Here is a 12532-nt window from a genome sequence, read left to right as displayed (position 1 = left end):
GTACCGTCTACACCCTCTGACTCTGACCATCTCCACCCATTCCTCAACACACGGCCATCTGCTGTCCGCCCCACCCCTCCCAGGGCTGGTCTGAGTTACATCCCCTGCAACTGCCAGGCCGCGGAGCCCAGTGGCCACTGTGCACTCTGCACCATACTTGGCCTCTCAGCAGCAGCTGGCACTGCTGCCGGTCCCACCACCGTGAAATGCTTCTCCCTCCATGTCCGGGCCCAGCCTCCTCTGCAGAGACCCCAGCACCACCTCGAGGTGCCGCCTCAGGAACCTCTCTTCCTGCTCTATCCTCTCCCTGGAGAGCTCACTCATCCCAAAGCTTCCATTCCCTTCTCTAGGAGAAGGGCTCCCAGATGTTTACCTCCAGCACAGAATGTTCTTCTGAGCCTCAGGCACGTCCAACTCAGTGCTTAGAGCTGACCCCTCGACAAGGCGCAGTGGCTCACACCTGTAATCCCAGCACTTTGGGAGGTCAAGGCGGAAGGATGGCTTGAACCCAAGAGTCTCAGACCAGCCTGGGCAACACAGCAAGACCTTGTCTCTACAGAAAATTTTTAAATTAGCTGGGCTCGGTGGCACATGCCTATATTCCCAGCTACTCGGGAGGCTAAGATGGGAGGATCCTTGAGCCCGAGGTTGCAGTGACCTTGGAATGAACCACTATCCTCCAGGCTGAGTGACAGCGCACGACCCTGTCCCTAAAATTTTTTTTTAATTTAAAAGAAGAAGAATTGAATCCTAATCCTCCCTCCTGCACCAACCTTTATCTCAGAGAATGGTTGTCCCATGTATCTACTGGCTACAAACCTGGGAGCCATTCTCGCCGCCTCCTTCTCCCCAAATCTCATATCTCATCAATTCACCACCTGCAAAATCTGAGCTCCAACCACTTCCAAACAACCCCACCGGCCCCTCCGAGTCAGGCTTCCATCTCTTCCCCTGGATCCTGCAGCAGCCTCAGCTCATCCCCTCTCCACTCTGTTCCCTGCCATGCATTCGCCATATGACGCCAGGTGATTTTCCAAAGGTCTCATCTTAATCCTCTGGGTAACATCGTCAATGACTCCAGTGCTCTTAACTAGGAATAAACTCTAAAATCTTCAGCAGAATGTCCAAGCGTCTGCTTGATCTGGTCCCTGCCTGCATGCCCAGCCTCTCCAACACTAACTCCGGCTTCACCAGCTGTTCTGATCTCCCTCCGGTTCCTCTTGCTGTCGCCTTCTCTCTCTCGGCTGCCTGAACGCATGTGCAGAGGCCCACAGCAGTGCTTCTCAAGCTGCCCTGTGTATACAAATCACCGGAAAATGACGGTAAAATGCTGACTCTGGGCCAGGCGTGGTGGCTCACGACTGTAATCCCAGCACTTTGGGAGGCCGAGGCGGGCGCATCACGAGGTCAGGAGTTCGAGACCAGCCTGGCCAACATGGTGAATCCCCGTCTCTACTAAAAATACAAAAGTTAGCCAGGCGTGGTGGCACGCACCTGTAATCCCAGCTACTCGGGAGGCTCAGGTAGGAGAAGCGCTTGAACCCAGGAGGTGGAGGTTGCAGTGAGCCAAGATCGCGCCACTGCACTCTGGCTCGGCGACAGAGCAAGGCTCTGTCTCAAAAAAATAAAAAAGCTGACTCTGATTCAGTGGTCTGGGGTGGAACCTGAGATTCTGCATTTCTAAGGGGCTCGCAAATGGTGCAGGTGTTGCTGGTCCCTTGGCCTCCCTTTGAACAGCAAGAATCTAGAACACTCTCCTCCACTCGGACTCCACCTTAGCCTAACTAGCACCTATCCAATTTTCAGGGCTCAGCTGAAACATCATTTCCTAACAAAAAGCCCTACCTGACCCTCTCCGAGACTAGGTTAGAGTCCCCCCACCTCCTAACCTTACGTTCCCCCTGAGCTATGCTGTGCTTCACCTTTAGAATATTCACCACGTTTAACTGTGCAGCCCTCATTCCTGACATTATTTTTCCATTTTTGGCTCCCTAGCTAGACGACAAGCTCTAGGAGAGCAGGGACCACAATGTCTGGTTTACTACAAGGTCCCCAGAACCGAGCACTGGGCCTGGCTGAGCATGCGCACATGTGGCGGAAAGCTGTGGGTCTTGCCTGCCCCGCATCCCTTCCCCTTCTTCTCATGGTACCACCGCCATTTCCCTCTAGGACCTACCCCTCCCTCATTCTCAGTTCTTATGGTTTAGGTGGGCGGTCATGAGACCCAGGTCTGGCCAATCAGAGCCTTTCATCTTTCTGGTGCCGGTAATTGGTTCAGGGACAAACATGTGACCTAAGCCAGCCAATGAGCTTCTTCCCTGGGACTTTGTTAGAACTACTGGGGGAAAAAAATACTTTTCTTTTCACTGGGGTTACTTCACAGGTAGGAGCTGCTACCACCCTTCGGCTGCCACAAAGGCAGCTTGACAAAGAATGAAACCAACACAGAAGAGAGAAAGAATGAGACTGATCTTGCGGATGCAGTCATGCCTGCCGTCTATGCTTGCAATTACAAAGGCAAAAAATACCCTTTTATGACTAAGCCAGAGTGAGTTATGTTTCTGTCACTTACAACCAAGAGTCCTAACTAATACAAAATTCAAATAAATACTGGGTATTAAATGAATTAAATGAGTACATGAGTAAGTAAAATCTGCCAAGAGAATTCAGGGACTCCTCCTAGGAGACTGTCAGACTTCTCCCTGCAAACTCCTGCCATCTGTGAGGACAGAGACAAGCATCCCACAGCCACCTTTGTAGACCAAGGGGACACTCGGAATGGTGACAGGCTTCTTAGCATTACCCTGTGCAAAGAGCTGGCCCAGCACCCGGCTCAGATACCAACACTGAGCTGGGTGCTGGGGCAGGCACTAGGCTAGTGAAGGTGGTCTGGCTTCCACTGCCCTCTGGGTACTGCACAAGGAAGACAGCACAGCTCTCCTTGGTCAGCCCTGCACCCTGTCCTGCCCCCCCGCCCACCGCTGACCACTTAACCCACCCAGGGCAGGCTCTGGCTACCCCTCAACACACAGGCTCCTCGAGGCATACCACATGGCTCTGTATGTGATGGGTATCGGATACAGGACAACAACAGGAAGATGGATGGGTTTTATCTGCTTCCTATGGGTTGTCATCTTGCAAAAGATTAGGTTCAGGGAAGAGGAGGGGTGATGCAGAGCAGTGAGGAAGAGATGCCTGATGATCTCCCTGTGAGCCACTCAGAGCACAGCCCCAGGACAGAGAGGAGCTGGCCTAGATGTCCCCTCAGATGACTCAGGAGGCAGGTGACTTCTTCAGCACTAGTCCTCACTCACTCCACAGAGTGTGAAGGAAGGAGGGAGGCAGGGAGGGAGGGAGGGAGAGCGTGCATGCCAGCCTATGCAGAAACACTGGCTGAGCCAAAAGTCTCCTCTGAGGACCAGCTCAGGCCTGTGTGGCCATCCTGCCGAGGCGTCGGACTGAAAAGTGATGGGGGAAGGTCATGGTGGCAGAAGGGCACTGCTCCCTCGGCTCCCGTCCAGGAGTGAGAAGGTCCTGGGCCTAGCAGCCTGGACTGTGGTCTCCCCAGGAAAAAGGCTCACGAAGGAAGTGCTGATAAGAAAATAACTGCCACCCCGACCCGAACCTCCAGCCAACCCTTCCATGGGGACTGCCGTGAACAGGCCCAGCTCAGAAGGGCCAGCCAGAGGCCGGCAGACCAGCATGCAAATGCCCTTCAAGTCCCAGGAGGGCCACAGCCCAGCCCCAGGCAGTCCTTCTGGGCAGCTGCCTTCTATCCCCCGGCTTCCTCCTGGCTGGGCCCCTTGTTCCCAAACTCCACTACCAATTACCAAGAGTCCTGCCAACCCCATTTCAACCCCAATGTCCTCACCGCCCCTTGACACAGACACCCTGAGTCTCTTGTCATGCTTCCCCCGCACTGGTGCTTAACTGAACATCACCTCCTCCGAGGTGTCAGGACACTCCACAGCCCCACTGCGACGGACGCTGCTGGGCCTGGAGCCAAAGCCACAGCAAGGCCTCACAACTTCCCCACACTCTCCCCTCCCTGCCTTCCTGAATCGAAGCCTCTTACCTTCATGGTGGGAGGTGCCGTGAGAGGAGGGGAGAGCGGCCGGTCTGGGAGGGTCGCATCCGAGCTGTTGGCCAGCTCCTGCTTCCTGTGAAGAGGCCAAAAGAGGTGAGTGAGGACCTGCCTGCGCCTTCCCTTCTCTCCTCCAAGAGTGACTGGGCTCTCGGACACAGTTTAACATACAATGCAGGCTGGGTTGGGTGGCTCACGCCAGTAATCCCAGCACTTTGGGAGGCCGAGGCAGACGGATCACCTGAGGTCAGGAGTTCAAGACCAGCCTGACCAACATGGTGAAACCCCATCTCTACTAAAAATACAAAAAATTAGCTGGGCGTGGTGGTGCACGCCTGTAGTCCCAGCTACTAGAGAGACTGAGGCAGGAGAATCACTTGAACCTGGGAGGTGGAGGTTGCAGTGAGCCAAGATGGCGCCACTGCACTCCAGCCTGGGCAACAAGAATGAAACTCCGTTTCCAATTAAAAAAAAAAATACAATGCAGAAACCAGAATTGGGAGCATTTTCTTTACTCCAATGCACCAAAATCTAAAGCAGTGCTACTCTAAGTATGGTCCCTGGACCACCAGCGGCACCTGGGAACTCGAAAGACATGCACATTTGCAGGTGCACACCAGGCTCTCCAGTGATGAGCCCAGGAACCTGCGCTCCAACGAGCTCTCCAGGTCATTCTGCTACACGGCAAAGTCTGAGAACCACGGGGCTAAAGAGATCCAGGACTGGGGCTGGGTGTGAGAAGAGGAGGGGAGAAACGCGGATTCATTCTCCCTTGAGCCCCTCTGCACGTACACACACACACACACACACACACACACACACACACACAGGCCCTGGTCAAAAAGCTGTCCTCGGGAGACAGGGCTGCCTGCCGTGCAACCGCAGGTAAAACTTAACTTAGTCCATGTGGGCTAGGACGGTAGAGAGGCAGCTAAACAGAGTTGTGTCACCATGGCAACATGACTGCGACAAGTTTGCCGCGCTCACACACTCCCCACTTTCCATCTGGCCCTCGCTGGTGACCGGGGAGTGCTGTGTGCGGTCCCATCACCAAGCAGACGGTTTGGCATGGGATCAGCCTTCAGAGCCACGGCTGCACAACAGGGCCAGCTGGGCAGAGCCTGGGGAATTCCCGGGTGAGGGACTCCAGTGTCCTGAACAAGCTCTGGCTGTACCCAGGAGGGGACGAGGGGGCTGGGAGAACCGTATTAAAAGCCGAAGAGGGCCGGGCTGAGCCGTCAAAGCCCCCAACTTTACAAGTGTGTCCTCCTCTACAGCCCCGCTCTGAAGCAGCAGAGAGAGTCAGCCCAACCCCCAGGTCCTGCGTAAATGATCAAAGCACCCCCACTGCCACCTCCAGAGAATCCTTCTGCCCCTCTTCCCAGCCCAAGTCCTGCCAGCGAAGCGACAGTTCCAACCCCACACCTTCTTCATGACAGAAACCCACCCTCCCTACAGAGCCCAGCCCTCCAGGTTTCCAGGCCCAGACCCCATCCTGCCTGGCTCCCTGAGCCCACGGAGCAGGACCAGGCTGAGAACACTTCCAGGCTAGGCCTGGGTCATGTGTACCCCTGCCTGCCCCTGCAGTTGACCAGCCAGCCCTCCCTGTGGCCAACTAGGGAGCCACATCAGGGGCCTGGGGACTACCTGGCTTGGCAGAGAATCCATTCCACCCCATTAACCTGAACCTGGCAATCCCTGTCTCCTGCTCCCCATCTCCCTTCCTCTTTCTTTCTTCCTGGACCTTGTTGATGTAAGTTTTGATGGCTGGAGAGGGGGGACTCTCCCGCCTGATCCAGGCTGTAACTGGCTCAAGAAACCAGCAGGGCTGAGATAGCTCCTAGGTGTGTGCACACACTCTCACACACACACAAAAGCAGGCACCAGCTCCTGCTACCTCTCAGCTAGAGCTGCCAGCCTCCTTCTATGTACGGCCTTGGACATTACCACCGTAGGCTCCAGTCTGGCTGCTCTGCCAGACACTCACCTGCCTGTGTGCACAACAGAGCTGGGTCCAGCACAGGCTCACCGCCTCCTCCACCTGGCCCTCTCCCAAGCAGCCACAGCTCCTCCTCAATGGGCCTGGCCTTTAAGAGCCATGATGGGGGAAAGGAAGAATGATCAAGCAGGAGGGCATCACCCTCAGGTCCTCTTCGGGCCCATGGTGAGAATGACAGCTGCTCCCCTGTAAGGCTAGGAGCCCAGCAAGGAAAAGCACGCAGGGAGGGGAAGTAAAACAAGCCCCCACCAGATGCTATAGGGCGACTCTGGGCTTAGCAGAGGGCCTCTGGAGATGGCTCGCAGGCACCTTGATGGACAGCAGCCCTGGCTCTCCAGAAACACACAGTCCAGAGGAGGACAGAGCTGGTTTTAACATCACCGGTCACTGGACGCTCATACACACAGTCATGCTGTCTATTTTTCCCCATCAGGCACAAGGTGTCCACGCTCATGGCACCAGGGCACATATGATTATTGTTCAAGGCCCTGAGTCCCGGTCAAAAGGGCGCAGCATCCAACACTCCCTGAGCTGAGCCCCTCTCCCCTGCCTTTTCCCCCTGGATGCTGGATAAGCTCCTGGGGCCGGTCTCTACTGGACACTGGATAAGCTCCTGGGGCCGGTCTCTAGGAAGCGAGGCAGACTCTCAAGTCGGAGCACATGGCAGCTTCTGACCAGAAGGATTTCCCAAATGATGCCTGGGAGCTTGGAAGGCGCTAGAGCAGACATGAGCACCAGTGGTGACCAGCCTCATGCAAGCTCCAGCGCTGTGTCCAGGACTCCAGAGGGGGTGCCAGGGTGGGCAGAAGGCATGACTGCCACCCTCAAAAACATCTGAACTGGGCCCAGAGCGGTGGCTCATGCCTGTAATCCCACCATTTTGGGAGGCTGAGACGGGGGTGGATCACTTGAGGTCAGGAGTTCCAAACCAGCCTGTTCAACGTGGCGAAACCCCGTCTCTACTAAAAATACAAAAATTAGCCAGGCATGGTGGCGTGTGCCTGTCATCCGAGCTACTTGGGAGGCTGAGGCAAGAGAATCGCTTGAACCCAAGAGGTGGAGGTTGCAGTGAGCTGAGATCGTGCCACTGCACTCCAGCTCGGGTGACAGAGCAAGACTCCATCTCAAAAAAAAAAAAAAGAAGGGAAGGCAACAATGTGAAGAAACACACAGTGAGAATGCCCCGTGTTCTCAGGCAGACACAGGAGTGATGCGGCTGCAAGCCAACGCATGCTGAGGCTTGCCGACCCCGCCAGAGGCTAGAAGAGGCGAGGAAGGATTCTTCCCTAGAGCCTGCAGAGGGAGCGTCGCCCTGCTGACACCTTGATTTTGGACTTCTGGCCTCCAGAACTGAAATAATAAATGTCTGCGGCTTTAAGCCATCTGAGGTCCTTGGTAATGGCAGCCCTAGGAAATGAATGCAGTGCCCAGGCCCCAGGTTCTAGCCTTGGCCTAGAGAGCCAAAAACAGTGAAGATGAAATCCTGCTTCTGCCTCACCACCCCTGCTCTGATCAGCTATGCTCAGCCTTGTCCTGCCCCAGGACAATGACATTTACACATGAGCCACCCTCCCAAGGACAGCCAGGCACAGCCCAGCCCAGCCACCAGCTGGCACCGAGATAAGATAGAGTTAAGTGACGCGGTGCTTGATGCAGTTTTATCCCTTTTTCTCCCACTCAGGCAAACATATCACACACGAGGAGGTGAAAGTGATGTGATTATATCAAGGGATAACCTTGAATGTGCTCTAATTAGAAGCAAAAGGTAAATCCTTAGCCGAGGTGACAACTTCTTTGTGACCCACAGGGATCTATCTTGCCACATGTCATGGCACTGAGATTGAAAACCGCAGCCCTCAAGCGACCCAGCCCCATACTCGCATGCAACTCTAACGACGCGGGGCCCCAGACCCACCCAGGGACCCACAAGGACCCATGAGAGGAGGGGCTGGAGATGGGGACAGCTTGGAAAGCAGAGAAGGGAAAAGGAGGATGGAGAGAAGCCAGAGGAAGAGAAGAGGAAGATTACATACTCAGTTCAAAGAGAAGGGTGGCAAGGGCAGGCTGGAAGGGCAGGTCAGAGAGCCTCTGCCACCTGGGGGAGTCCTGGAGGCCCTGCCCCTTCTCACATGGCACTGAGGTTCCCTGCTCTGGGATTCTTTTCCTCCCTAGAAGCACAGGAGATCCAAGGGCAGATGGGGAGGCTCAGGGAGACCAGGACGCGTCCTAGCCAGCGTTGGCCAAATGCAAATCTCTGGAGGAAATGGTCAAAGGGGCCTGGAGTGGAAGCTGAGAAGTCAAAGGCCATGATTCACCCAGACGGAGCTAGACAGACCCCTGGCGGAGCCCCTGTGACAGCACCCAGGCCTGCAGGCTCCTCGCCTCCCCACCCTCGGAGGGCTCTGCCTCAGACCATCTTGAGGTCACTGCAACCGTCATGTCTCACACATCGCTATGGAGAGCACCCTACACTTGGAATCAAGGGATTCCTGGGTTCAAGTTTGGCTCTGCCTGCTACCCAGCTGTGAGGCCTTGGTTAAGTTACCTCGTTGTGTCTTGTTTCCTTCATCTGCAAAGATAGGGGTAATAAAGTACCAAGGAGTTAAAAATAATAGCTGTGGCTGGGAGAGGTGGCTCTCACCTGTAATCCCAGCACTTTGGGAGGCAAAAGTGGGCAGATCACCTGAGGTCAGGAGTTCGAGACCAGCCTGGCCAACATGGTGAAACCCTGTCACTACTAAAAATACAAAAATTAGCCAGGCGTGGTGGCGGGTGCCTGTAATCCCAGCTACTTGAGAGGCTGAGGCAGGAGAATCGCTTGAACCTGGGAGGGGGAGGTTGCAGTGAGCCGAGATCTCACCATGGCACTCCAGCCTGGGCAACAAGAGCGAAACTCCGTCTCAAAAAAATGAATTAATTAATTTAAAAAAATAACAGCTGTGACATAAAACATGAAGTTCTATATCAATGTAGACCATGATGATGATGATGATGATTATAACTCATAAAATGTTGATGTGGTCTCCAAGTGGAGACAGAAGCAAGAGTCCAAGGCCGTTTAAATGCCTTGGAAAACATTTCTGGCATCTCAAATGAGCACCAGTTCTAGCCTGGGGATCTACTCTCAGGATCATAACCGTTGGTTAATAATCAACCACAGGAAAAACACTCACCTAGCAGCAGGTGGCTCTGGGGCCAGGTGTAAGGCCCCCTCCACACGGGGTTCTCCCAAAGCCTGAAACTCCCCTTTCCTGCATCCCCTCCCCACACCCGCTCCCAGCCATCCACCCACGCTCAGCTACGCTTTCTCTTGCTTTCCAAATAGCCAAGCTAGAGGAATACAGACAGCTGGGCTGCAAAGAGCTTCTCGGGAAAACCAAACCAAAAGGAACAAGAAACATGATTCATAATGGCCAAAAGGGGGAAGCAATCCAAGTGTCCATCCGCCAACGAACAGATAAATAAAATTTGGTTGTTCCATACTGTGGAATACTGCTCACCCATAAAAAGAAATGAAGCAAAAATAATTAATTTTCAAAAATAAAAATAGGACCACGGGCAGTGGCTCATGCCTGTAATCCCAGCACTTTGGGAGGCTGAGGCAGGCAGATCACCTGAGGTCAGGAGTTCAAGAACAACCTGGCTAACATGGCGAAACCCCATCTCACTAAAAATACAAAAAATTAGCCAGGCATGATGGCGCATGTCTGTAGTCCCAGCTACTAAGGAGGCTGAGGCAGGAGAATCACTTGAACCTGGGAGACAGAGGTTGCAGTGAGCCAAGATTGTGCCACTGCACTCCAGCCCGGGTGACAGAGCGAGACTCCACCTCAAAAAAATAAAAATAAGTGGCTGGCTGTGGTGGCTGACGCCTGTAATCCCAGCACTTTGGGAAGCCAAGGCAGGCGGATCACGAGGTCAGGAGATCGAGACCATCCTGGCTAACATGGTGAAACCCCGTCTCTACTAAAAAAAATATTTAAAAAATTAGCCAGGTGTGGTGGCGAGCACCTGTAGTCCCAGCTACTCGAGAGGCTGAGGCAGGAGAATAGCGGAAGCTCCCGGAAGGCGGAGCTTGCAGTGAGCCGAGATCGCTCCACTGCACTCCAGCCTGGGTGACAGAGTGAGACTCCGTCTCAAAATAAAATAAAATAAAATAAAAATAAAAACAAACTGATAGCTTATGACTATAAAGACAATAGAAAGAAAAGGAATGAAGAACTGATGCATGCTACAACACGGATGCACCTAGGAAGCACGGTGCCGAGTGACAGGAGCCAGGCACAAAAGGCCACATGCTGTGTGATTCCAGTTCCATGAAATCCACAGAACAGGCAAATCCACAGACAGAACGGTGATGAGAGGTTGCCAGGGGCTGCAGGGAGAGGGGAACGGGATGCAATCGCTAATCAATACTCCTGCTAATCAATACTCCAGCACCACTCCTGATTCACTGTGTGGTCAGGTTATCTCACCTCTCCATGCCTCAGCTTCCTCATCTGTAAAACGGTGTGACTACTCCTCGCCTCATGGGGCGTTATGAGGAAGGCCCAGAAAGCACTCAGCACAGTGCCTGGTACGCTGCAAAAACATGGCTGGTCGCCTTGTTGCCAAGGCTCAAATCAACGGGAAGAATGGGCACGGAGGAGGAGGGGCCAAGGCAGAAAGCTGATCAGAAGGCAGAGGTGGACGGGGGCAGGGACATCTTCAGATCTGGGCACTCGCTGCCCCACATACTGTGGATGCTAAGCTGGGAGACAGGGACACGGGAGCCCAGCTGCCATGTGGGAACCGCCAGGCCCCGGGTATATGCACATGGCTCAATTCCAAGCCCCAAGGGGACAGACATGGAGATGCGGGCACTGATGACCCTCATGCCTGTGCTGGGGCCAGTGTGGAAGGGAGAAAGGGCATGAGCCCAGCAGACCTGGCAGAGTGTGGGGGAGGGAAGAGGACACTGGATTCAGGAACAAAAGGCTCCAACAGGTGGAGTGAATGGGTAGCTTGAGAAGGAGCAGGTGTTGCGCACCTGTTCCTACCTGGCAGGGCTGACCTCGGGGTCACAGCCCATCCCAGCACATACTCTGAGAGGATTCCAAAGATTTGGGGCACCAACTCTAGACCTTTGGTGATTCAAAACTCCCCCGTTGGCCGGGTGAGGTGGCTCACACCTGTAATCCCAGCACTTTGGAGGCTGAGGTAGGAGGATGGCTTGAGCCCACGAGTTCAAGACCAACCTGGGCAACATGGTGAAATCCCATCTCCATAAAAAATTTAAAAATGAGCCAGGTGCATGCCTGTAGTCCTAGCTATTCAGGAGGCTGAGGTGGGAGGATCACTTGAGCCTAGGAGATCAAGGCTACAGTGAGCCGTAATCATGCCACTGCACTCCAGCCTGGGGGACAGAGCGAGACCCTGTCTCAAAAAAAAAAAAAAAAAGACTCCGCAGAAATTGCAAAATGGCAATCCCCACCCCTACTTCAATCCCAGGGTTCACGGATGCAGAGAGCAGCAGCCGTGGGAGAAAGCACCAGATGCCACCCGACAGCCTCATTATGCAGACAAGCACGTGGAGGCTGGAGAGCCGAGGGAACCGCCCAAACCCCACAGTGAGCCTCTCTTCTCTTCTCCAAGGAAGAGGCCCCACTTCCAAATCACCTCGGCCCAGGCTTGTGGGAAGTGGGGAGCAAGTCTCAGGAGGGGCTGGGTATGGTGGCTCACGCCTGTCATCCCAGCACCTTGGGAGGCTGAGGTGGGCAGATCACTTGAGGTCAGGAGTTCGAGACCAGCCTGGCCAACATGGTGAAACCCCATCTCTACTCAAAATACAAAAATTAGCCAGAAATTGCTTGATCCCAGGAGGCAGAGGTTGCAGTGAGCCAAGATCGTGCCACTGCATTCCAGCCTGGGCAACAGAGCGAGATTCCATCTCAAAGAAAAAAAAAAGTCTCCAGGAGGAACGTGTCAGGAAGCACAACTGGCTTCTGGACACCCATTTTTTTGTTTGTTTGTTTTTGGTTTTGAGACGGAGTTTCACTCTTGTTGCCCAGGTTGGAGTGCAATGGCACAATCTCGGCTCACTGCAGCCTCCGCCTCCTGGGTTCCGGCAATTCTCCTGCCTCAGCCTCCCAAGCAGCTTGGATTACAGGCACGCGCCACCACGCCCAAACAATTTTTTGTATTTTTATTAGAGACAGGGTTTCACTATGTTGGCCAGGCTGGTCTCGAACTCCTGACCTCAGGCGATCTACCCGCCTCAGCCTCCCAAAGCGCTGGGATTATAGGCGTGAGCCAGCGCACCTGGCCTGGACACCCGTTTATAAAGTGCCAAGGCCCTCAAGTGAGGGGACAGAAGGGGGAGAGGGTCAAAGGGGGCTACTGGTCCCCTGCATAGAGCAGACAGAGAGCAGGAGGCCCAGGCTGTGCAGGAGATGAGCCGGCTGGAGTCT

The 12532-nt window shown here is 54.3% G+C and overlaps 1 protein-coding gene across 12 annotated transcripts in view, besides 3 other annotated features; it reads right to left on the bottom strand.

The window, feature by feature from the left end:
- RAP1GAP2 (RAP1 GTPase activating protein 2) overlaps window positions 1-12532 on the bottom strand; it is a 282097-nt gene that overhangs the window by 128298 nt on the left and 141267 nt on the right. For all 12 annotated transcript variants that reach the window (XM_047435668.1, NM_001411048.1, NM_001438816.1 and 9 more), the window contains one exon: window positions 4076-4160. In XM_047435668.1, the coding sequence (XP_047291624.1) occupies window positions 4076-4160 (85 nt within the window). The remainder of the gene's footprint in view (window positions 1-4075; window positions 4161-12532) is intronic.
- Window positions 5418-6080: an enhancer, noted in NCBI's record as "H3K27ac-H3K4me1 hESC enhancer chr17:2806658-2807320 (GRCh37/hg19 assembly coordinates)". NCBI's record gives its function as "activates a minimal SCP1, AML or CMV promoter by ChIP-STARR-seq in naive H9 embryonic stem cells {active_cell/tissue: H9 hESC(naive)}" and the evidence as "EXISTENCE:reporter gene assay evidence [ECO:0000049][PMID:30033119]".
- Window positions 6081-6743: an enhancer, noted in NCBI's record as "H3K27ac-H3K4me1 hESC enhancer chr17:2805995-2806657 (GRCh37/hg19 assembly coordinates)". NCBI's record gives its function as "activates a minimal SCP1, AML or CMV promoter by ChIP-STARR-seq in naive H9 embryonic stem cells {active_cell/tissue: H9 hESC(naive)}" and the evidence as "EXISTENCE:reporter gene assay evidence [ECO:0000049][PMID:30033119]".
- Window positions 9568-9780: a silencer, noted in NCBI's record as "fragment chr17:2802958-2803170 (GRCh37/hg19 assembly coordinates)". NCBI's record gives its function as "represses an EF-1alpha promoter that drives an FKBP-Casp9 reporter gene in an ReSE screen in K562 erythroleukemia cells {active_cell/tissue: K562}" and the evidence as "EXISTENCE:reporter gene assay evidence [ECO:0000049][PMID:32094911]".

The sequence above is a fragment of the Homo sapiens genome, chromosome 17 (assembly GCF_000001405.40).
Source record: "Homo sapiens chromosome 17, GRCh38.p14 Primary Assembly".
Lineage (NCBI taxonomy): Eukaryota > Metazoa > Chordata > Mammalia > Primates > Hominidae > Homo > Homo sapiens.
The sequence above is the reverse complement of the archived record's forward strand: the minus strand, read 5'-3'. Positions and strand labels throughout refer to the sequence as shown.